The following is a 24,583-nucleotide window of genomic DNA, read 5'->3' as shown; positions in this document are numbered from 1 at the left end:
TGAAATGACAAAATTATAGAGATGGAAAACAAATAATTTGTCAGGGACAGGAAGGAGAGGGGAGGGAGATGGTTGTGGCTAACAAAAAGTGGCATGAGGGATCCTTGTGGCGATGGAACAGTTCTGTACCTTAACTGTGGTAGTGATTACAAAATGTACACGTGAACAAATAGACTAAATATTTATTTACAAATGTGATCAAATAGACTATACACACCCCCAAATGAGTGCATGTAAAACTGCTGAAATCTAAACAAGGTCTGTGGATTATAACAAAGTCCATTTCCTGACCATGACACTATACTATAGTTGTGCCAGATGTCATCTTCGGGATAAACTAGGGTGAAGGGTATACAGGCTCTCTTTGTCCTTTTTTTCAATTTCTTATGAATTGATTATTTCCAAACAAATGCTAAAATTTCATGGAACTTTATATCCAAAAAGTCATTATTGTTATTTGGTTATTTTAAAATAAAAAACCAAAGAGTTATAAAAGCACTACATATAACTAAGGTTATAAAAACAATATGGTATTTTCTAGAACTGAGATTCTCTTTCAAGGGGTATACATTGATATAACTTGTGGAGCTTTATAAAAATATGTGTGCCTGGGCCACATCCCCACAATTCTGATTGGATAAGTCTGGGATAGGACCTGGGCATCTGATTCTGAGATGCACCCCTAATGGATAACCACTGCTTAAGATGGGGGGATAATATATGCAAACAAATGAGAACAGCAGTTTGGGGTTGTGGGATCACAGGTAATTATAATTTCTTACTTTGCTATAATGTACATTTTTATGCAATAACAAAAACTTTAAATAAAAAATATTTAGTTCATCATTCCAGCTGGCAGAGATATTTTTTTCTCTGTAAGCCATTTATTTCCTATCCCTACTCCTAGTTTCCTGCCATCCAGGAATTTAATGAATACATCTTCTCTGTTCTCATTTACATTACTAATGAGAATGTTAAGCAGAACAAAGTCCAATGGCAGTCACTAGAAATTTCTTTCCAGCTTGGCAATGATAAGCAATCTTTGGGTTCTGTTTCACTTATTTAAGATCTACCCAAATTTTACTCTTACCTGATTTACTGTTCTCTACCATTTTCATAAGATGAGAGACATTTTCATGTTTTGCTGATGCTCAGATATACTGTGTCTACCACAATTCCTTGGTCTGTCACCCCAAAATGAGCCTGAACCACTCCTCTGATACTTAACAAAGGATATAAAACTATATTGTCTTTTCTTCCTAATTACATACTAAGACTGCTGAGCGTAGACTGACCATGCTGTATGTTTCCTTGCAAACTCCATAGCAATTCTTTCAATTCCATTCATTCAACAAATACTTACTGACCCCCTACTATATGCTATGTACTACTCTGGGCTCTCCTATCTTAGTATAAAATAATAATTAAGTATTCATAGCAGTATTCCCTCAATATCTCACCTTGGACAAACAGCTACCTGCCATGTCCTGTGCCACACTGTCCTTCCTATTATCCATTCCACTCAAAGTTTGAAAGACTTTGTCATCGACCCCAGTCCAAATCACTAGATATACTTTTACAAGACTTTAAGAATGATAAAACGACCATACCGTCACTGCCTTTTCTAGAAAGAGTCTCTCCTTTCAATTAGTTCTCACAGTATCTTATTTGAAACATTCTTAGAGCACTTAGTATATTCTACTTTGTATTACACTTATTTGTCTGCATATCTTATCTTGCCTCCTAAATCATGAGCTCCTTGAGGGCAGGAACCACAGCTTATTCAACTCTATAGACCCAGTACATTTTTACCATGTTTTTGGCCTGGCAGCCCTGAATGAGAAAGAGAACAGCAGCTCCTTAAGGCAGGAGTTGTCAGGCTTACCTGCACCTCCACCAACCAGTCCACAAGAATGGCCCTCATGTCACTGGTGATTTCAATCTGCCTGTTCATGTAATCTGTAAGTATAAACTGTTCCTGGCATTGATGAGAAAGAAATGTTAATAAATAAACTCTTCTTATAGTTCAACATTGTAACTTAACAATTAACTTCTCCCTCATAGTTCTAACTCCTTGTTTTCAACTGGTATTAGAGAGGGGCAGATCAAAGTATCCTTTTCCAGGCAAGTTGCAGTTATGCTTTGGGAAATAGACACGTGATATTCAAGTGTCAGAGTGGATATTGAAGAATCCAGGGGGAAATAAGGGCAGAAACACACCTACAGCTGTAGACAAATGCCAAAAAGGTTCTGCCCTTTCTTTGCAATTCAATCTAAAGCACAATACCATGCTATGTAGAGCAGTGCTTCTCAAACTTTAACATACATATGCACTACTTGGGGATCATGTAAAACTTCAGATTCTGATTTAGAAGGTCTGGGATGGGGCTAGGTTTCTGCATTTCTAACAAAATCTCAAGTGAAACTGATACTGCTGAACCAAGGCTCACACTTTTATTATAACAAAGATGTCCCTTACTTAGGTATGCCAGAAAAAGTGTGGGCTTTGGAATCAGTTAATCAATTGCACTCTCTCTATAAAGAGGATAGGTGGATCTGTAGGTGGGTTTCCATCCTCCCACCCTCTTATACATGACCTGCTAAAAATTCTGCTTGGTAGATAATCTTGGTCCCATCTGTTCTGTTGAGAGAGTTAGAAGAAACTTTGGAATTGATGAATATTAGTGGTAAAGGAGACTGGCAGATTTCAAAGGAGAAAGAAAACTTCACCAGGTTGGAGAGATGAAACAAAGAATACGATTTTGCCTACAATGCCAGAAACATGCACAGGGAAGGAAAAAGATCTCTAAGAACAGCCACTCAGAGACTACTTGACCATTTTTGTGTCTAAGACTGTCTTCTTAGCAATTAGATGTACAGGATTATGGTCTTCAAGGCAATCAGACTTTAGTTCATATCTCAGCTCTACCATGTACCACTTACATGACTCTGGGCAGTTTCCTCTATCTGTAAGAGGGAGATAATAATACCTACCATCATGAAGTTACTGAGAGAATTAAGATAATATCTACAAATCTGTTAGTACAATGTCCAACTCACAGTAAGCTACCAATATGTTAGTTGTTGCTATTATTATTTTTATCATCATTATTACCACCCCTTTCAACTTGCACACTGAAGGATGGAATGATGAAGAAATGAAAACTAGAAATCATTGCCCAACCCAAGCAACCTAAATACCTCTCTCTCTTTCATGTAACTGAAGATTTCCTTGGCATACATTGGGTTGAAACTTGGATCACTGCTGTCCTCATCAATATCTTCCCGTGGGGTTATCTGCTTAGAAATCACCAAAAAGACATATTATGAGAATTATTCCAAGGAAGACTTAGCACATACATATCAATGATTACTCCTTTCTCCCCACTGTCTTCTTCTGCTAAGGTGTCTCAAGCCTTGTATATGTTGGGCCATAACACAGTACTCCTTGGCTGTGCAATCCTCATATGGTCCAGGGATCAAGAAATGCCTAGACTTCATTGTATATACCTTCGCTGCCCTAGGAACAAGGGACCCTTTTTATGGGTAAGCTGAAGATTCTCCAAGACGGACATTCTTATTTTATTATTTCAGCTTTGTTACCTGTCTTCTTAGGTCCCTAATTATGTCAATGCTTTGATCTGGCCCAATTCATCTTGGTAGTCTTTTCCTCCTTTCTATACCTTTACCCAGGATGTTTTGCTACAAAAAGGACATTTCTCCTCCTGCTTGCTAAATATCATCCCTTCATTATTCAAATTTACAACGTAAAGACCACCTTCCTTGGGAGATGCTCCTATGAACTTTGCCCATTTTTTACCAAAGCCCACCGTGATGCAAATTACAATTACTAAGAAAGGCAATTTCCTGAATGAAATTACCTGGCCACTATTGCAAAGCCCAAGTATATAGCACAGTAGTCCAGACTCTTGTGGGTATTACTGGAATAAATACTTTCTGATTGCTTAGATCTATCACTGTGCCAATCAGGAAGTCAAGAGATTGTACAAGGCCAACTTAAGAGAAAAATGCCAAAGAACCTGGGAAATGTATCCCAAATCATGGGTAACCTCAGGCTACAAAAGGTGAGAAGAGATGATTCTGCATCACCTATCATTAAATAAAACCAGAAGTAAACCTAAGAAATATCACCCTCTCACTAGGTAGAGGGATACTCTCAATAACTTACTATATATGGCTCAACTGCTTAGGAAGGCAAAAAAACAACAACAACAACAAAAAACAAAAACAAAAAAAAAAAAACAACTTTGCTAGCAGCCACCTCCAGGATATCAAAGAACAATTTATCTAATTTAAGAAGAAAGGGAGATGAATACCTCCTTTGGTGTTCCCTTGGCCTGTGGTGAGACAGGTTTATCAGAAGCAGATTCACATGCACTGGACTCGGTGGTGGTCCTGGACTTGCCCACGCTGGTCATGGTTGCAATGCTGGACTTCTCTGTTATGGATTCAGGGGTGGTGCTAAACACATATGGGCTGGTTCCAATTTGGGGGATCAAGAATGTTTCCAGAAAGGTGTCTTCCTTGCAGGTGGGACTCTCTTGTAAGGCCAATGGCTCCTTGAAGGACAACTCCTTCCCAGTGGTGGGTTTCTCATTCAGAGTTATCATATCTTCGAAGAGGAATGCCTCATTGATGGTACCAGATTTGCCCACACTGGTCATGGTAGCAATGCTGGACTTGCTGGTTATGGATTCAGGGGCAGTGCTAGACACATTTGGGCTGGTTCCAACTTGGGGGACCAACAATGTTTTGAGAAAGGTGTCTTCCTTGTAGGTGGGACTCTCTTGTAAGGCTAATGGCTCCTTGAAGGACAACTCCTTCCCAGTGGTGGGTTTCTCATTCAGAGCTATCATATCTTCGAAGAGGACTGCCTCATTGATGGTAGACATCTTCAAGGCTAATGGCTTTTTGAGGAGGGTCTCTTTCTTAATGCTGGGCTTCTCTTGCAAGTCCAAAGACTCCTTGAAGATGGTCTCCTTCTCAGTGCTGGGCTTCTCCCACAAAGCTGAGTGTCGCTTAAAGAGGGCCTCCTGCTCAATGCTGGGCTTCTCCTGCAAGGCCAAAGTTTCCTTAAAGTGAGCTTCTGTGTCAACACTGGGCTCCTTGAGGACAGCCTCCTTCTCAGTGCTGGGCTCCTCCTGCAAGGCCAAAGGTTCCTTAAAGTGAGCTTCTGTGTCAATAGTGGGCTCCTTGAGGACAGCTTCCTTCTCAATGCTGGGCTCCTCCTGCATGGCCAAAAGCTTCTTGAAGAGGGTCTCCCCCTCCGCAATGCTGGGATACCCCTCCAAGGCCAGTGGCTGCTTATTAAGGAACTCCTCTTCATTGATGGTCTCATTCAAAGCCAACTGCTTCTTCAGGAAGAACACTTTTCCATGAGAAGTGGACTTCTTCTTTAAAGATAATTGTGTCTGTATGTTTGTGGCTGCCTCAGCAGAAAGCTCCTCCTTCAGAGCCAATAGCTTATTGATAAGGGACTCTTCTTCCATGGTGCTTTTCTCCTGCAAAGCCAACAAGTTCTTCAAGGAATCCTCTTCGGCATCAGTCTTCTCTTGCAAGACCAAAGCCTCCTGGAAGAGGGACCCACTTTTGTTGGTATGCTTAACATGCAATGAAAATAGTTCCTGAGAGAATTCCTCCTCAGTGGTAGCCTTCTCTTGGATGGCCAATGACTCTTTTGAGAGGGACACTTCCTGCAAGGTGGTATGCTTCTCTTTCAATGCAGATGGTTCCTGGGAGAGGAACTTTTCTTCCGTTGTAGATTTCATCTTAAAGGGCAACAGCTTCTTATAGAATGACTCCTCCTCAGAAGTGATCTTCTGCAAGACCAGTGGCTTCTTTAAGTGGGACATCTTCCCCTGAGTAATTTTCTTTTCCTGTAAAGACAACGATGTCTTGGTAAGTACTGTCTCCTCAGTTGTAGGGTTCTTCCTAAATGACATTGGCTCCATAAAGAAAGAATTCTTATCTTCACCAATCATATCCTGAAAGTCCAACAGTTCTGGACAGATGGACATCATCTCTTGTGTGGTACACTTTTTCTTTAAAGACACTTTTTCTTCTTTAAAGGGCAGTGGCTCCTTAATAAGTGACTTTTCTCCAGAGGTGGTCTGTAATATTAGTGGTTTCTTCAAGTGGGACATTGTCCCCTGAGTGGCATGCTTCCTCTTTAAAATTAAAGGCTTCTTGGTGGGGGGTGCCTCCTCAATGGTACACTTCTTTGTAAAAGCCAAAGCCTCATCAAAAGGTGACTCCTCAGTTGGAGACTTTAGCAAGGACGAGGGCTCCTTTAAGATGGAAACCTCCTCCTGAGTGGTGTGCTTCTTTTGCAATGCAGATGGTTCCTGGGAAAAGGACTCCTTCTCAGTAGATGGCTTTTCTTTAATGGACAATGGCTTCATAATGAGCGACTTCTCTCCAGAGGTGATCTCCTGCAATACTAATGGCTTCAGACGGGACCTCTTCCCCTCAGTCATGCACTGCTCCTTCAATATTACTGGCATCATGATTGCCTCCTCAGTGCTAGGCTTCTTCTTAAAGGCTAACGACTCCTTAACAAGGGAATCCTCTTTAAAGTTGGTCTTCTGCAAGGCCAATGATTTCTTCAAGATGGACATCTCATGCTCAGTGGTGTGTTTCTCTTGCAATACAGATAGCTCTTGGAAAAGTGTCTCCTTCTCAGTGGTAGGCTTCTTAATGGAGGACATTGCTCCACAGATGGTTGTCTGCAATACTGGTGGCTTCCTAAAGTGGCATATCTTCCCATAAATGGTACATTTCTTCTTTAAAGATGATAACTTATGGGTGGGGATTGACTCCTCAGTTTTAGGCTTCTTCTTAAAACTCATTGACTCCATAAAGAAGGAATCCTCTTCCATATTGACATCCTGCACAGCCAACGACTCTTCCTGGCAGGACTGCTTCCGCTGACTTGCACACATCTTCTTCTTTAAGGATAATGTCTTCTTGGTGATGGCTGCCTCCTCAGTTTTATGTGTCTTCTTAAAAGTCATTGGCTCTATAACAAACGCATCATCACTGTCACTCTCCTCCTGCAGGGGCTGTAGCTTTTCCAGTAAGGACACCTCCTCATGATTTGAGCACTTTTTTAAAGATAATGACTTATTGATAAGGGTTTCATCCTCAATAGTGGGTTCCTCCTTTAAAACTAATGGCTTTCTGAAGAGAGATGCCTCCTCAGTGTTGGGTGTTTTGGAGGTGGTGGATATGTCTAGAATGAGTGGTTTCTCCATAATGTTTGGTACCACGGTAGTAGAGGCTACTACTGGTGTGACTTCCAGCTTATGCCTGTGAAGGAAACAATGTCTGGGTAAGAAAAATGTAGTTCCTAGAATCCTCACCTACCATTTCCTTTTGTTGCTATATTTACTAAAGGTATGAAAGGGGAAGGGGCTTCAACCCCATAAGACAGATTAGAGGGACAAAATCAGTAGGTACCATGGTCAATCAACTTAAGTAGTACACTGTATAGTTTCTATGGCCTAGATACCTACACTTTTCTATAATTTTTCCATAGAAATTCATGTTATGCTTTCTTATATATGCTTCATTACCTTATATACAAAGGCTTTTATAATACTTATCACATTGTATGAGTTACTTGTTCATACATCAGTCTCCTTCACTAGCTGCATTTGTCTTTGTCTATCAACCCAAGGCAGCTGGTAAACTTCAGGTTGAAATTAACATTGTTTGAAGGCTAATGAGAGAGATGGGCTGGTAATTAACTTTGGTAGAATCTAACTACATTCCCCTCACCCTGGACTATTAAGGAGATGTTTTCCCAATGGAGGTAATAAAAAGCTCAAAATAGAAACTTGTCACATGTGCCAGATGCAAAGCTTTGTTTTGAATAGGATTGTATATTCAATTAGAGTGATGAATCTAGTGAGACAAAATCACAGAAAGACTAAAGTTCAGAATAAGAAGAGAGAGAATTTCAGGCAGATATAATCACCAATCTGAGCAGGAGTAAATACCTTCTAAAGACCAGATATCATATGATTTAGTTCAATATGAAATATGCAAAATGGACATACCCATAGAGGTATATCCACAGCAGAAAGTAGACTAGTGGTTTCCTGAGGCTGGGACAGGGGTAGGAGTAGAAAGGGGGATTAGGAAGGGAAAAGAACTCCTAATAGGTATGGATTTAGTGGACGGGGGGTATTGAAAAAGTTCTAAAATTAGATAGTGGTGATAGCTGTACAAATCCAGGAATAGAATGAAAAACCACTGATTTGTTAAGAAAAAAAAAGTGCTTCAAAAGGTTCTGCTTGACCAGATAGATTCCAGGTCCCTCCTGATAACTTTTAGAGAAGATCTTTAGATAGTCTAGCTATGGTAAGAACATGCATTCTGGAGCTAGACTGCCTGGATTCAAATCCTGGCTCCTCCAACTTACTGACTGGGTGACCTTGGGCAAGTTAACTCTCTGTGCTTCAGTTTTTTTCACCTATAAAATGAGGATCATAATATCTCCTTCATAGGCTTATTGTGAAGATTCAACAAATTAGTATGCTCAAAAACACTTAAAGGCACGTTATGAACAATTGAATGTCAATAAATTAGATAATTGAGATGAAATGGACAAATTCCTAGGAAGACACAAACTACCAAAACTGACTCAAGAAGAAAACAGAAAATCTGAATAGACCTATAACAAGATATCAAATCAATAATCAAAAACTACTCACAAAGTAAAGTCCAGGCCCAAATGGCTTCAATTCCATCCAAACATTTAAACAATAATTAATACCAGTTCTTCATTAACTCTTCAAAGAAACACAAAAAATGTGAAGTTTCTAACTCATTATATGAGGTCAGTATTACTCTGATAACGAAAACAGACAGACACCACTAGAAAACTACAGACCAATACCTCTTATGAATATAGATGCAAAAATCCTCAGCCAAATACTGCAAACCAAATCCAGCAACATATAAAAGGATTATACACCATAAACAAGTGGAATTTATACCAGGAATGCAAAATTAATTTAACACTCAAAATTCAATTTGCATACTACATCACATTAATAGAATAGAAAACAAAAACGACATGATCATCTCAAAAGATCCAGGAAAATCATTTGACTAAATCTAACCCTCTTTCATGATAAAAAGCACTTAACAAACAAGGAATAGAAAGGAGGTTCCTCAACCTGATAAAGGGCATCTACAAAAAAACCCAAAGCAAACATCGTACTTGATGGTGAAAGACTGATACTTTCCCCCTAAGATCAGGGAGAAAACAAGAATGTCCAACTCTTGATACTTCTATTCAACATTATACTAGAGGTTGTAGCTAGGGCAAGTAGGCAAGAAAACTAAATAAAAGTCATCCAGTTTGGAAAAGTAAAAATATCTGTATTCACAGATGACATGATCTTATATAGAGAAAATCCTAAGGAATACACACAGAAAACTATTAGAACGAACAACTTCAGCAAGATTCCAGGACACAAAATCAATATACAAAAATCAAATGTCTTTCTGTATACTTGCAATGAATAATCTGAAAATGAAATTAAGTAAACAATTCCATTTACAATAGTATCAAGAAGAAGAAAATGCTTAGAAATAAATTTAACAAACATAAAACTTATACTCTGGAAACTGTAAAAAACCATTCAAAAAACTAAATATCTAAATAGATAGACATCCATATTCATGAATTAGAAAACTTAATATTGTTAAGATGTCAGGCTGGGCACAGTAGCTCAAGCCTGTAATCCCAGTACTTTGGGAGTCGAGGCAGGCAGATCACTTCAGGTCAGGAGTTCGAGACCAGCCTGCCCAACATAGTGAAACCATGTCTCTACAAAAATACGAAAAAAAAAAAAAAAAAGCTGGTGTGGTGGCCACACACCTGTAATCCCAGCTACTCAGGAAGGCTGAGGCATGAGAATCACTTGAACCTGGGAGGTGGAGGTTAGAGTGAGCCAAGATTGCACCACCACACTCCAGCCTCGGTGGCAGAGCAAGACTCCGTCAAAAAAAAAAAAAAAAAAAAGAAAGAAAGAAAAAAAAACCCATATCAATACTTCCCAAGTTGATCCACAGATCCAAGGCAATTTGTACAAGAATCCCAGCTAGCTTGTTTGTAGAAATTGACAAGCTGATTCTTTTTTTTTAATATACTTTAAGTTTTAGGGTACATGTGCAGAACGTGCAGGTGAGTTACGTATGTACACATGTGCCATGTTGGTGTGCTGCACCCATTAACTCGTCATTTAACATTAGGTATATCTCCTAATGCTATCCCTCCCCTCTTCCCCGACCCCACAACAGTCCCCGGTGTGTGATGTTCCCCTTCCTGTGTCCATGTGTTTTCATTGTTCAATTCCCACCTATGAGTGAGAACATGCGGTGTTTGGTTTCTTGTCCTTGCGATAGTTTGCTGAGAACAGTGGTTTCCAGCTTCATCCATGTCCCTACAAAGGACATGAACTCATCATTTTTTATGGCTGCATAGTATTCCATGGTGTATATATGCCACATTTTCTTAATCCAGTCTATCATTGTTGGACACTTGGGTTGGTTCCAAGTCTTTGCTATTGTGAATAGTGCTGCAATAAATATATATGTGCATGTGTCTTTATAGCAGCATGATTTCTAATCCTTTGGGTATATACCCAGTAATGGGATGGCTGGGTCAAATGGTATTTCTAGTTCTAGATCCCTGAGGAATCGCCACACTGACTTCCACAAGGGTTGAACTAGTTTCCAGTCCCACCAACAGTGTAAAAGTGTTCCTATTTCTCCACATCCTCTCCAGCACCTGTTGTTTCCTGACTTTTTAATGATCGCCATTCTAACTGGTGTGAGATGGTATCTCATTATGGTTTTGATTTGCATTTCTCTGATGGCCAGTGATAATGAGCATTTTTTCATGTGTCTTTTGGCTGCATAAATGTCTTCTTTTGAGAAGTGTCTGTTCATATCCTTCGCCTACTTGTTGATGGGGTTGTTTGTTTTTTTCTTGTAAATTTGTTTGAGTTCATTGTAGATTCTGGATATTAGCCCTTTGTCAGATGAGTAGATTGCAAAAATTTTCTCCCATTCTCTAGGTTGCCTGTTCACTCTGACGGTAGTTTCTTTTGCTGTGCAGGAGCTCTTTTAGTTTAATTAGATCCCATTTGTCAATTTTGGCTTTGGTTGCCATTGCTTTTGGTGTTTTAGACATGAAGTCCTTGCCCATGCCTATGTCCTGAATGGTACTGCCTAGGTTTTCTTCTAGGATTTGTATGGTTTCAGGTCTAACATTTAAGTCTTTAATCCATCTTGAATTAATTTTTGTATAAGGTGTAAGGAAGGGATCCAGTTTCAGCTTTCTACATATGGCTAGCCAGTTTTCCCAGCACCATTTATTAAATAGGGAATCATTTCCCCATTTCTTGTTTTTGTCAGGTTTGTCAAAGATCAGATAGTTGTGACAAGCTGATTCTAAAATTTATATAGAATTGCAAGGAACCCAAAATAGTCAAAACAATCTTGAAAAAGAAGAACAAAATTTGGAGGAGTCACACTTCCCAATTTCAAAACACAACATGAAGCTGCAATAATCAAGACAATATGGTACTGGCATAATGATAGTTAATGAGAGACATACAGATAAATGGAATAAAATTGAGAGTCCATATATAAACACATTTATGGTCAACTGATTTCCAAGAAGGGTGCCAAGACAATTAAGAAAGGTTAGTTTTCTCAACAAATAGTGCTGGAAAAACTGGACATCCACACTCAAAACAATGAAGTTAAGGCTCCTAATACACACCACCAATAAAAATTAACTGAAAATAGATCAAAACCCTAAGTTAAGAGCTAAAACTTTAAAATTCTTAGAAGAAAACAGGTGTAAATTTTCTTAACCTGGGATTTGGCAGTGGTTTCTTAGGCATGACATCAAAATCATAAACAACAAAAGAAAAAACAAATTAGACTTCTTCAGAATTAAAAATTTCTGTACTTCAAAGGACATCATCAACAAAGTGAAAAGATAACCCAAAAAATGGATGAAAATATTTGCAACTCGTATCTGATCAGGGACTTGTATCTAAAATATATAAAGAACTCTTACAACTCAACAATACAAAGACCAACAATTATTTACGATTATTATATGTCAATTAAAAATAAAATTAAAAAATTAAGAAATAAAAGCATAAAAAAATGGGCAAAAGATCCAAACAGACATTCCTCCAAAGAAGTACCAAATAGCCAATAAGTACATAAATGATGCTCAACATCATTAGTCAGAGAAATGCAAACCTAAAAACCACAATGAGATACCACTTCACACCCACCATGATGGGTGTTTAAAAAAAAAAAAAACACTGCCAGCTGGGCATGGTGGCTCACTCCTGTAATCCCAGCACTTTGGGAGGCCGAGGCAGGCAGATCACCTGAGGTCAGGAGTTTGAGACCAGCCTGGCCAATGTGGCAAAACCCCATCTCCACTAAAAATATAAAAATTAGCCGGAGGTGGTTGTGGGCACCTGTAATCCCAGCTACTCAGGAGGCTGAGGCACGAGAACCACTGGAATCCAGGAGGCAGAGTTTGCAGTGAGCCAAGATTGCACCATTTCCTTCTAGCCTGGGTGACAGAGTGAGACTCTGTCTCAAGGAAAAACAAAAACAAAAACACAACACTGCCACCATTCCACAGTGGCTATACCATTTTACATTTCCTCCAGTAAATACACTGCTGGAGGAAATGTAAAATGGCGTAGCCACTATGGAATACAGCTTGGCAGTTCCTCAATACATGGAGCACAGAATTACCATATGACCCAGCAACCACACTCCTAAGTATATACACAAAAGAATTGAAAACAAGTTTTCAAACAAAAAGGTATACACAAATATTCAATAGCAGCACTATTCACAATAACCAAAAGGTAGAAACAATGCAAATATCTATCAACTGATAGATGGGTAAACCAAATGTGTTGTATATATGCAATGAAATATTACTTGGCAATAAAAAGAAATGAAGTACTGACAACCTGCTATGACACGGATAACCTCAAAAACATGCTAAGTGAAAGAAGCTAGACACAAAAGACCACACATTGTCTAATTCCATTTATATGAAACATCCAGAATAGGGAAATCTATATAGAAAGTAAGATTAGTGGTTGCCCAAAGCTGGGCAGGTTGGGGGTATTGAGAGGTGATAACCAAAGGTACAGGGTTTCTTTGGAGTTAATGAAAATGTCCTAAAATTGATTGTCATGGCTGTATAACTGTGAATATACTAAATACCATTGAATTGTATACTTTAAATGGGTGAACTGTTTGGTATGCAAATTATATCTCAATAAAGCTGTTACTAAAAAAAATAAAGACTTAATGATTATACTTCTGTGATCACAGTGAGCTCTCAGTAAATGGCAGCTATTACTAGTTTTCCTACTATTATTAGGGTCCTTTCCACTGAACCCTGAGTGAAGAGAAGAATGTTTATGGCATTTGTGAGGATTGCCCTGCTAAAGTCAGAATGATGGTGGAGACAAGATAGCCAAATAGGAACAGCTCCAGTCTACAGCTCCCAGCATGAGCAACGCAGAAGACGGGTGATTTCTGCATTTCCAACTGAGGTACCAGATTCACCTCACTGGGGAGTGCCAGACAGTGGGTGCAGGACAGTGGGTGCAGCGCACCATGCACGAGTTGAAGCAGGGTGAAGCATCACCTCACCCAGGAAGTGCAAGGGGTCAGGGAATTCCCTTTCCTAGTCAAAGAAAGGGGTGACAGATGGCACCTGGAAAATCCGGTCACTCCCACCCTAATACTGCGCTTTTCCAACAGGCTTAACAAATGGCACACCAGGAGATTATATCCCGCACATGGCTCGGAGGGTCCTATGCCCACAGAGCCTCGCTTATTGCTAGCACAGCAGTCTGAGATCAAACTGCAAGGCAGCAGCAAGCCTGGGGGAGGGGCACCTGCCATTGCCCAGGCTTGAGTAGGTAAGCAAAGCAGCCAGGAAGCTCGAACTGGGTGGAGCCCATCACAGCTCAAGGAGGCCTGCCTGCCTCTGTAGGCTCCACCTCTGGGGGCAGGGCACAGACAAACAAAAGATAGCAATAACCTCTGCAGACTTAAATGTCCCTGTCTGACAGCTTTGAAGAGAGTAGTGGTTCTCCCAGCACGCAGCTTGAGATCTGAGAACGGGCAGACTGCCTCATCAAGTGGGTCCCTGACCCCTGAGTAGCCTAACTGGGAGGCACCCCCAAGTAGGGGCGGACTGACACCTCACACGGCCAGGTACTCCTCTGAGACAAAACTTCCAGAGGAACAATCAGGCAGCAACATTTGCGGTTCACCAATATCTGCTGTTCTGCAGCCACCGCTGCTGATACCCAGGCAAACAGGGTCTGGAGTGGACCTCCAGCAAACTCCAACAGACCTGCAGCTGAGGGTCCTGACTGTTAGAAGGAAAACTAACAAACAGAAAGGACATCCACACCAAAAACCCATCTGTACATCACCATCACCAAAGACCAAAGGCAGATAAAACCACAAAGATGGGGAAAAAACAGAGCAGAAAAACTGGAAACTCTAAAAATCAGAGCGCCTCTCCTCCTCCAAAGGAACACAGCTCCTCACCAGCAACAGAACAAAGCTGGATGGAGAATGACTTTGACGAGTTGAGAGAAGAAGGCCTCAGAAGATCAAACTACTCTGAGCTAAAGGAGGAAGTCCGAACCAATGGCAAAGAAGTTAAAAACTTTGAAAAAAAAAATAGACGAATGGCTAACTAGAATAACCAATGCAGAGAAGTCCTTAAAGGACCTGATGGAGCTGAAAACCATGGCACGAGAACTACGTGACGAATGCACAAGCCTCAGTAAACAAGGCGATCAACTGGAAGAAAGGGTATCAGCAACGGAAGACGAAATGAATGAAATGAAGCATGAAGAGAAGTTTAGAGAAAAAGAATACAAAGAAATGAACAAAGCCTCCAAGAAATATGGGACTATGTGAAAAGACCAAATCTACGCCTAATTGCTGTACCTGAAAGTGACAGGGAGAATGGAACCAAGATGGAAAACACTCTGCAGGATATTATCCAGGAGAACTTCCCCAATCTAGCAAGGCAGGCCAACATTCAAATTCAGGAAATACAGAGAACGCCACAAAGATACTCCTCGAGAAGAGCAACTCCAAGACACATTATTGTAAGATTCACCAAAGTTGAAATGAAGGAAAAAATGTTAAGGGCAGCCAGAGAGAAAGGTCGGGTTACCCACAAAGGGAAGCCCATCAGACTTACAGCAGATCTCTCGGCAGAAACTCTACAAGCCGGAAGAGAGTGGGGGCCAATATTCAACATTCTTAAAGAAAAGAATTTTCAACCCAGAATTTCATATCCACCCAAACTAAGCTTCATAAGCAAAGGAGAAATAAAATCCTTTACAGACAAGCAAATGCTGAGAGATTTTGTCACCACCAGGCCTGCCCTAAAAGAGCTCCTGAAGGAAGCACTAAACATGGAAAGGAACAACCGGTACCAGCCACTGCAAAAACATGCCAAATTGTAAAGACCGTCAAGGATAGGAAGAAACTGCACCAACTAATGAGCAAAATAACCAACTAACATCATAATGACAGGATCAAATTCACACATAACAATACTAACCTTAAATGTAAATGGGGTAAATGCTCCAATTAAAAGGCACAGACTGGCAAAGTGGATAAAGAGTCAATACCCATCAGTGTGCTCTATTCAGGAAACCCATCTCATGGGCAGAGATACACACAGGCTCAAAATAAAGGGATGGAGGAAGATCTACCAAGCAAATGGAAAACAAAAAAAGGCAGGGGTTGCAATCCTAGTCTCTCATAAAACAGACTTTAAACCAACAAAGATCAAAAGAGACAAAGAAGGCCATTACATAATGGTAAAGGGATCAATTCAACAAGAAGAACTAACTATCCTAAATATATATGCACCCAATACAGGAGGACTCAGATTCATAAAGCAAGTCCTTAGTGACCTACAAAGAGACTTAGACTCCCACACAATAATAATGGGAGACTTTAACACCCCACTGTCAACATTAGACAGATCAATGAGACAGAAAGTTAACAAGGATATCCAGGAATTGAACTCAGCTCTGCACCAAGTGGATCTAGTAGACATCTACAGAACTCTCCACCCAAAATCAACAGAATATATATTCTTTTCAGCACCACACCACACCTATTCCAAAATTGACCACATAGTTGGAAGTAAAGCACTCCTCAGCAAATGGTAAAGAACAGAAACTATAACAAACTGTCTCTCAGACCACAGTGCAATCAAACTAGAACTCAGGATTAAGAAACTCACTCAAAACCGTTCAACTACATGGAAACTGAACAACCTGCTCCTGAATGACTACTGGGTAAATAGCAAAATTAAGGCAGAAATAAAGATGTTCTTTGAAACCAACGAGAACAAAGACACAACATACCAGAATCTATGGGACACATTCAAAGCAGTGTGTAGAGGGAAATTTATAGCACTAAATGCCCGCAAGAGAAAGCAGGAAAGATCTAAAATGGACACCCTAACATCACAATTAAAAGAACTAGAGAAGTAAGAGCAAACACATTCAAAAGCTAGCAGAAGGCAAGAAACAACCAAGATCAGAGCAGAAATGAAGGCAATAGAGACACAAAAATCCCTTCAAAAAATCAATGAATCCAGGAGCTGGTTTTTTGAAAAGATCAACAAAATTGATAGACCGCTAGCAAGAATAATAAAGAAGAAAACAGAGAAGAATCAAATAGACGCAATAAAAAATGACAAAGGGGATATCACCACCGATCCCACAGAAATACAAACTACCATCAGAGAATACTATAAACACCTCTACACAAATAAACTAGAAATTCTAGAAGAAATGGATAAATTTTTCGACACATACACTCTCCCAAGACTAAATCAGGAAGAAGTTGAATCTCTGAATAGACAAATAACAGACTCTGAAATTGAGGCAATAATTAATAGCTTACCAACCAAAAAAAGTCCAGGACCAGATGGATTCACAGCCGAATTCTACCAGAGGTACAAGGAGGAGCTGGTACCATTCCTTCTGAAACTATTCCAATCAATAGAAAAAGAGGGAATCCTCCCTAACTCATTTTATGAGGCCAGCATCATTCTGATACCAAAGCCTGGCAGAGACACAACAAAAAAAGAGAATTTTAGACCAATATCTTTGATGAACATCGATGCAAAAATCCTCAATAAAATACTGGCAAAAGGAATCCAGCAGCACAGCAAAAAGCTTATCCACCATGATCAAGTGGGCTTCATCCCTGGGATGCAAGGCTGGTTCAACATATGAAAATCAATAAACGTAATCCAGCATTTAAACAGAACCAAAGACAAAAACCACATGATTATCTCAATAGATGCAGAAAAGGCCTTTGACAAAATTCAACAACCCTTCATGCTAAAAACTCTCAATAAATTAGGTATTGATGGGACGTATCTCAAAATAATAAGAGATATCTGTGACAAACCCACAGCCAATATCATACTGAATGGACAAAAACTGGAAGCATTCCCTTTGAAAACTGGCACAAGACAGGGATGCCCTCTCTCACCACTCCTATTCAACATAGTGTTGGAAGTTCTGGCCAGGGCAATCAGGCAGCAGAAGGAAATAAAGGGCATTCAATTAGGAAAAGAGGAAGTCAAATTGTCCCTGTTTGCAGATGACATGATTGTATATCTAGAAAACCCCATTGTCTCAGCCCAAAATCTCCTTAAGCTAATAAGCAACTTCAGCAAATTCTCAGGATACAAAATCCATGTGCAAAAATCACAAGTATTCTTATACACCAATAACAGACAAACAGAGAGCCAAATCATGAGTGAACTCCCATTCACAATTGCTTCAAAGAGAATAAAATACCTAGGAATCCAACTTACAAGGGATGTGAAGGACCTTTTCAAGAAGAACTACAAACCACTGCTCAATGAAATAAAAGAGGATACAAACAAATGGAAGAACATTCCATGCTCATGGGTAGGAAGAATCAATATTGTGAAAATGGCCATACTGTCCAAGGTAATTTAGAGATTCAATGCCATCCCCATCAAGCTACCAATGACTTTCTTCACAGAATTGGAAAAAAACTACTTTAAAGTTCATATGGAACCAAAAAAGAGCCCGCATTGACAAGTCAATCCTAAGCCAAAAGAACAAAGCTGGAGGCATCACGCTACCTGACTTCAAACTATACTACAAGGCTATAGTAACCAAAACAGCATGGTACTGGTACCAAAACAGAGATATAGACCAATGGAACAGAACAGAGCCCTCAGAAATAATACCACACATCAACAACTATCTGATCTTTGACAAACCTGACAAAAACAAGCAATGGGGAAAGGATTCCCTATTTAATAAATGGTGCTGGGAAAACTGGCTAGCCATATGTAGAAAGCTGAAACTGGATCCCTTCCTTTCACCTTATACAAAAATTAATTCAAGATGGATTAAAGACTTAAATGTTAGACCTAAAACCATAAAAACCCTAGAAGAAAACCTAGGCAATACCATTCAGGACATAGGCATGGGCAAGGATTTCATGTCTAAAACACCAAAAGCAATGGCAACAGAAGCCAAAATTGACAAATGGGATCTAATTAAACTAAAGAGCTTCTGCACAGCAAAAGAAACCACCATCAGAGTGAACAGGAAACCTACAGAATGGGAGAAAATTTTTGCAACCTACTCATCTGACAAAGGGCTAATATCCAGAATCTACAATGAACTCAAACAAATTTACAAGAAAAAAGCAAACAACCCCATCAAAAAGTGGGTGAAGGATATGAACAGACATTTCTGAAAAGAAGACATTTATGCAGCCAAAAAACACATGAAAAAATGCTCATCATCACTGGCCATCAGAGAAATGCAAATCAAAACCACAATGAGATACCATCTCACACCAGTTAGAATGGCGATCATTAAAAAGTCAGGAAACAACAGGTGCTGGAGAGGATGTGGAGAAATAGGAACACTTTTACACTGTTGGTGGGACTGGAAACTCGTTCAACCATTGTGGAAGTCAGTGTGGCGATTCCTCAGGGATCTAGAACTAGAAATACCATTTGACCCAGCCATCCCATTACTGGGTATATACCCAAAGGATTAGAAATCATGCTGCTATAAAGACACATGCACATGTATGTTTATTGCAGCACTATTCACAATAGCAAAGACTTGGAACCAAGCCAAATGTCCAACAATGATAGACTGGATTAAGAAAATGTGGCACATATACACCATGGAATACTATGCAGCCATAAAAAATGATGAGTTCATGTCCTTTGTAGGGACATGGATGAAGCTGGAAACCTTCATTCTCAGCAAACTATCGCAAGGACAAAAAACCAAACACCGCATGTTCTCACTCATAGGTGGGAATTGAACAATGAGAACACATGGACACAGGAAGGGGAACATCACACACTGGGGACTGTTGTGGGGTCGGGGGAGAGGGGAGGGATAGCATTAGGAGATATACCTAATGCTAAATGAGTTAATGGGTGCAGCACACCAACATGGCACATGTGTACATATGTAACAAACCTGCACGTTGTGCACATGTATCCTAAAACTTAAAGTATAATAATAATAATAATAAAAAAACAAAGAAACATAAAAAAATAAAGTCAGAATGATGAAAGAAATTCAAAAGAAAATAACGCAGAGAATTGAGGTCAAAATATGCATGCAAACTCCAGAATTCCATTTCAGCAGGAAACCAAGTAAGGCTAAATGCTAATCTTCTTTCTGCTGGGTAATTAGCACAATATCCTGTGGACTGTGCGTGTTATTTTCTAGAGTTACCCAGTCTTTTTAGCTTACCCTTTGGTGTTCCCAGGAGTGATAATCCAAACATCTCACAACCAGTATGGCACCGCACCAACCAATCACAGTGGAAGCTAGCATCAAACAACCAGTACAATAGTACTGGTATGTGTTGGCTAAATAGCAGCCCTACATGTTTCCAAGAGATACAGGATGTAGTTCTGTGCTCTATACCAGGCCTTCTGGCTAGCAAATAACTGAAAAGATGCTGTGTTAACATCACTCCACCTTGACCTCATAAGATTTTCAGAGGGGAATAAGGCAACATGATTGACTTTAGCCCTGTAATAGCCAGCTATCTAATCTATTCAGATGTAGATTAGTTAGTCCCTGAAGAATAATTCCCACCGGAATGAGGAGGGGATAAAGTCTTCCTAGAGGTAAATTATTTTTCCAATCCTAAATGGGAATGTGCATCTGTACTTGTAGAACCTGTGAACGGTACCTGTAACAGCTGAAAACCACATGTTTTTGCTCTAGGGAGATAGTAATTTATCTCCAGTAACATGGGACAAACCTCCCGTAAAGCTTCTAATGGAATAAGCTGACTGGCAAGCTACCAGTCAGCTGCTGAGAATCCCTGGAAAGTTAAGTTGTCTCCACACTATAAAGCACAGACTAGCTCAAACAGGTACTGAATTACTAAAAGACAGGAAAAGATGAGCACAAGGTCTTTTGGCAAATTTTCCAATGACAAGAGCTCTTTCAATATGCACACACGTAATGAAAGAGGAGAGACAGAAGAGGCTTTTTTTAACTCTTCAGCAACCACAGCTGAGCCCACCTCAGCACCCAGGGTTAATGTGGTAGTCACCATTGTGGCTTGCTAAATATGTTCTCAATGGGGACAAAAGGATGTCACATACTCTACCATCTAAAATAATGCCATCTGAGTCCCCTTTCACTCACCATTTTAGATTCCGCTTATTCTTTTTGGCCAGTCCAAGAGCATGTGTGTTCCTGTTTATCTTCTTGGAAACAACTTTTACAAACTCTTTATTGGCTTCTTTCTTGGGCTGGACAGGTTGACATTGAGAAGCCTGCAAAAAAAAAGGTGGGTTGGGGGGCAGGGGAAGAAGGAGGCAAGAAAATGAAGAAAACCACAAATTACCTAAAAGGTGGCTCTCATAGGAAAGTCCTGACCCACATAAGTTGGTTGGGTGTTCCCAGGAGTGATAATCCAAACATCTCACAACCAGTATGGCAGTGGGCCAACCAATCACAGTGGAAGCTAGCATCAAACAACCAGTGCAGTAGTACTGGTATGTGTTGGCTAACTAGCAGCCCTATGTGTTTCCAAGAGATACAGGATGTAGTTCTGTGCTCTATGCCAGGCCTACTAGCTGGCCCATAACTGAAAATATGCCGTGTTAACATCATACTCCACTTTGACCTCATAAGATTTTCAGAGGGGAAAAAAGGCAGTATGATTGACTTTGCTGTCTGGGTGTGCCTCTTCAGGATATACCTCTAACACTACATACTACCTGTGATATATCTATCCCATCTCACTAAGTGGCATTTATTTAACTCAGGGCTTTGGGGAGTTCCACACAGACTCTAATCCTGACTAACACTATTAAACAGTAGGAAAGATCATGGGACTGTTAATAATGTCAGTAAAAATACACTTAAAGTTATATCTTTAAAATGAAACAAACAGGCTAGTCACAGTGGCTCTTGCCTGCAGTCCCAGCACTTTGAGAGGCCATGGTGGGAGGATCACTTGAGCCCAGGAGTTCAAGACCAGCCTGGGCAACATAGGGAGACCCTGTCACTACAAAAAAATAATAAAAAAAATAGCTCGGTGTGGTGGCACATGCCTATGGTCCCAGCTACTTGGGGGGAATGAGGTAAGAGGATTGCTTGAGTCCGGGAGGTTGAGACTACAGTGAGCTTCAACCACGCTACTGTACTCCAGACTGGGCAACAGAGCAAGACCCTGTCTCAAAAAAGTTTTAAAAATTAAAAAATTAAATGACACAAATGAACCTAATTATATTTCAAATAAGTACCATAACTACATTAAAGGAAAAAATAAAGCAGAATAAAAGACCAGAAATAACCAATCCAAGTCACTTATAAATAGTATTTGACTACCACCTTCAAAGTATACATCCTCAATTAGGATAGGTCTGCAGGAGGTTGTAGATATTGCTAATAAATCTGGAACTCTTTTTAGTAGGTTTGTTTATTACAGTGGTTTGGATGAAGCCATTTTGAAACTCTTTTAGCTGTATTACAGTATTAAGTAAATGTGTTGATGTTCTTGGGAGCCAGGGTTCTCAATATAGAACATACAAATAAGGACTAGTGAATCTAAGAAATAATTTTATGTATTGAAATTGAAGCTGCATGAATTCATGATTTCCTAAATAGGTATATGTGTGTACATATACTAAATGCCCACATCAAAAAGCTAGAAAGATCTCAAATAGACAACCTAACATCATGACTAAAAGAACTAGAGAACCAAGAGCAAACAAACCCCAAAGCTAGCAAAAGACAAGAAGTAATCAAAATTTGAGTGGAAGTGAAGGAGAGAGAGACACAAAAAAACCTTAAAAAAAATCAACAAATCCAGGAGCTGGCTTTTTGAAAAAAATTAATAAAACAGACAGACTGTTAGCTAGACTAATAAGAAAAGAGAGAAGAATAAAATAGACACAGTCAGAAATAAGGGGGATATCACCATGACCCCACAGAAATACAAACAACCATCAGAGAATACTATAAACACCTCTATGCACATAAACTAGAAAATCTAGAAGAAATGGATAAATTCCTGGACACATACACCCTCCCAAGACTGAACCAGTTATACACATATATTTGTATATACAGACGTATGTATAAGTACACATTTGTGTATATAAAAATACAGATATTTCCTAGCTCTGTCTGCAGAATGGGCAGAAAAAGCAGACATCCTAATAGCACATCTAGCATCAATATCTTGGTATCTAATATCACTCCCCATTAAAGGGAACCAGAACTCTGGAGAAATGTTTGACTCCAGGGCTTGGACAAAGGAGACATAAGATGAGTCTGGAACATCTTTTTAAGCTGGAAAGAAAATGCTCAAAAAATTATGAGAGTGTGTCACAAGGACACGTTAGTGAGATTGAAGGTGCTCCTAACTGGCCAAAGATGGGGCAATTTGAGCACCAAAATAAAGTACAATAATGAACAGTAAACCTCTGGAAAATATGGACTCAGGAGTCCATACTGATAATAAACAGTGGAGAAGGGAAGGCTCATGCTTGTACAGTATGTCCTACAGATTCCTTACTAGTTGCAAGAGAAAAAGATAAACAATAATGATACAGTACAAAAACCAGGCAACATCTTGAACAGGTGATCAAAATTAACATCATCAATGAAAGACAGACATCCTGTGCCTCCAGATATACTTTGAGAAGGATAGCAAGAACATAACCTACACAGTATCCTAGCCAAGAATGTATCAATCTAGTCACAAGCAAACATTAGACAAAAACAAAATGAGGACTTTTCTATTTTACAAAGTGGGGAGTTGGGTGGGACTGCATCCTCAAAAATGGCAACGTCATTAAAAAAAAAGGCTATGGAAATGTTCCAGGTTAAGAGGCTAAAAAGACAAGTAAATACATGATCCTAGCCTGGATCCTTTACTGGAGGGGAAAACGTGCTATAAAGGTTGTTATAAGGTCAACTGACAAAATTGGAATATAGATGATTGATTACACAAAACTGCTATATCAATGTAAATTTAGAAAATTGATAAGTATATTGTGGTTATATAAGACAACTTCCCTATTCTTAGGAAATACACACTGTACTTACGGGTAAAGGGACCATGACATATACAAGCAAATGAGAAAGCACGTGGGACAAAATGTCAACAATAAGTAATCTACTATAGGGTATACTGGTGTTCTTTGTACAATTTTCATTTTTGCAACACTTCATAAATTTGAAGTTATTTCCAAGTTAAATGTAGAAAAAAAAGTATGTCTTTGTATCATCAGATCATAATAAACAACTACAGTCCAATAGGAAACTCTTTCTTAGGACCTCAAGTCATCTACCTCTGCTTTTCAAAGAGCTTGGCACAGTCACCATTTTAACTTCACCTAAAGTTTTGCAAACTCCTTATATGTACAATCAAGATTCAGAATGGGAAAAGAGGTGCATTCATGGCAAGAAAGACGTGGAGATCATAACTCCCAAGATGAAACTCTCTACTTGCCATACATACAGGTACAAAGCACTGATATTTTCAAGTTTAAGCTCCAGGGGACCTTTACTTGTACTTCCCCATAATTCTTTCACCATAAAATAGGAAAATAGAAGTGAAGGTTTGGTGTGGTGGCTCACACCTATAATTGCAGCACTTTGGGAGGTCGAGGCAGGAGGATTGCTTGAGCCTAGGAGTTCAAGACCAGCCTGGGCAACATGGCAAAATCCCATCTCTACAAAAAGAATACATAAATTAGCTGGGCATGGTGGCAATCACCTGTAGTCCCAGCTATTCAGGAGGCTGAGGCTGCAGTGAGCTGTGATCATGCCAGCTTGGGCAGAAGAGCAAGACTTTATCTCAAAAAAAATAAATAAAATAACATATATAAATAAAAATAAATGAAAGTCCTACTTACGCAAAACCATTTAGG

General features: G+C 39.6%; 1 protein-coding gene across 10 annotated transcripts in view; it reads right to left on the bottom strand.

Annotated features, from left to right (window-relative positions):
* The window catches only part of CCNB3 (cyclin B3), a 149,202-nt gene that overhangs the window by 36,081 nt on the left and 88,538 nt on the right, over positions 1 to 24,583 (bottom strand). For 4 of the 10 annotated variants that reach the window (XM_017029915.1, XM_017029914.2, XM_017029913.1 and 1 more), the window contains 5 exons: positions 20,841 to 20,971; positions 4,338 to 7,329; positions 3,202 to 3,300; positions 2,944 to 2,967; positions 1,886 to 1,978 (listed from right to left, as the gene is read on the bottom strand). The exons of 1 other annotated variant lie outside the window; for it this stretch is intronic. In XM_017029915.1, the coding sequence (XP_016885404.1) occupies positions 1,886 to 1,978; positions 2,944 to 2,967; positions 3,202 to 3,300; positions 4,338 to 7,329; positions 20,841 to 20,971 (3,339 nt within the window). The remainder of the gene's footprint in view (positions 1 to 1,885; positions 1,979 to 2,943; positions 2,968 to 3,201; positions 3,301 to 4,337; positions 7,330 to 20,840; positions 20,972 to 24,583) is intronic. 5 more of the 10 variants (XM_047442599.1, XM_017029917.1, XM_047442600.1 and 2 more) reach the window with 3 other exon arrangements.

The sequence above is a fragment of the Homo sapiens genome, chromosome X (assembly GCF_000001405.40).
Source record: "Homo sapiens chromosome X, GRCh38.p14 Primary Assembly".
Classification (NCBI taxonomy): Eukaryota; Metazoa; Chordata; class Mammalia; order Primates; family Hominidae; genus Homo; species Homo sapiens.
Note: the sequence above shows the minus strand (reverse complement) of the source record. Positions and strands in the feature narration are given on the sequence as shown.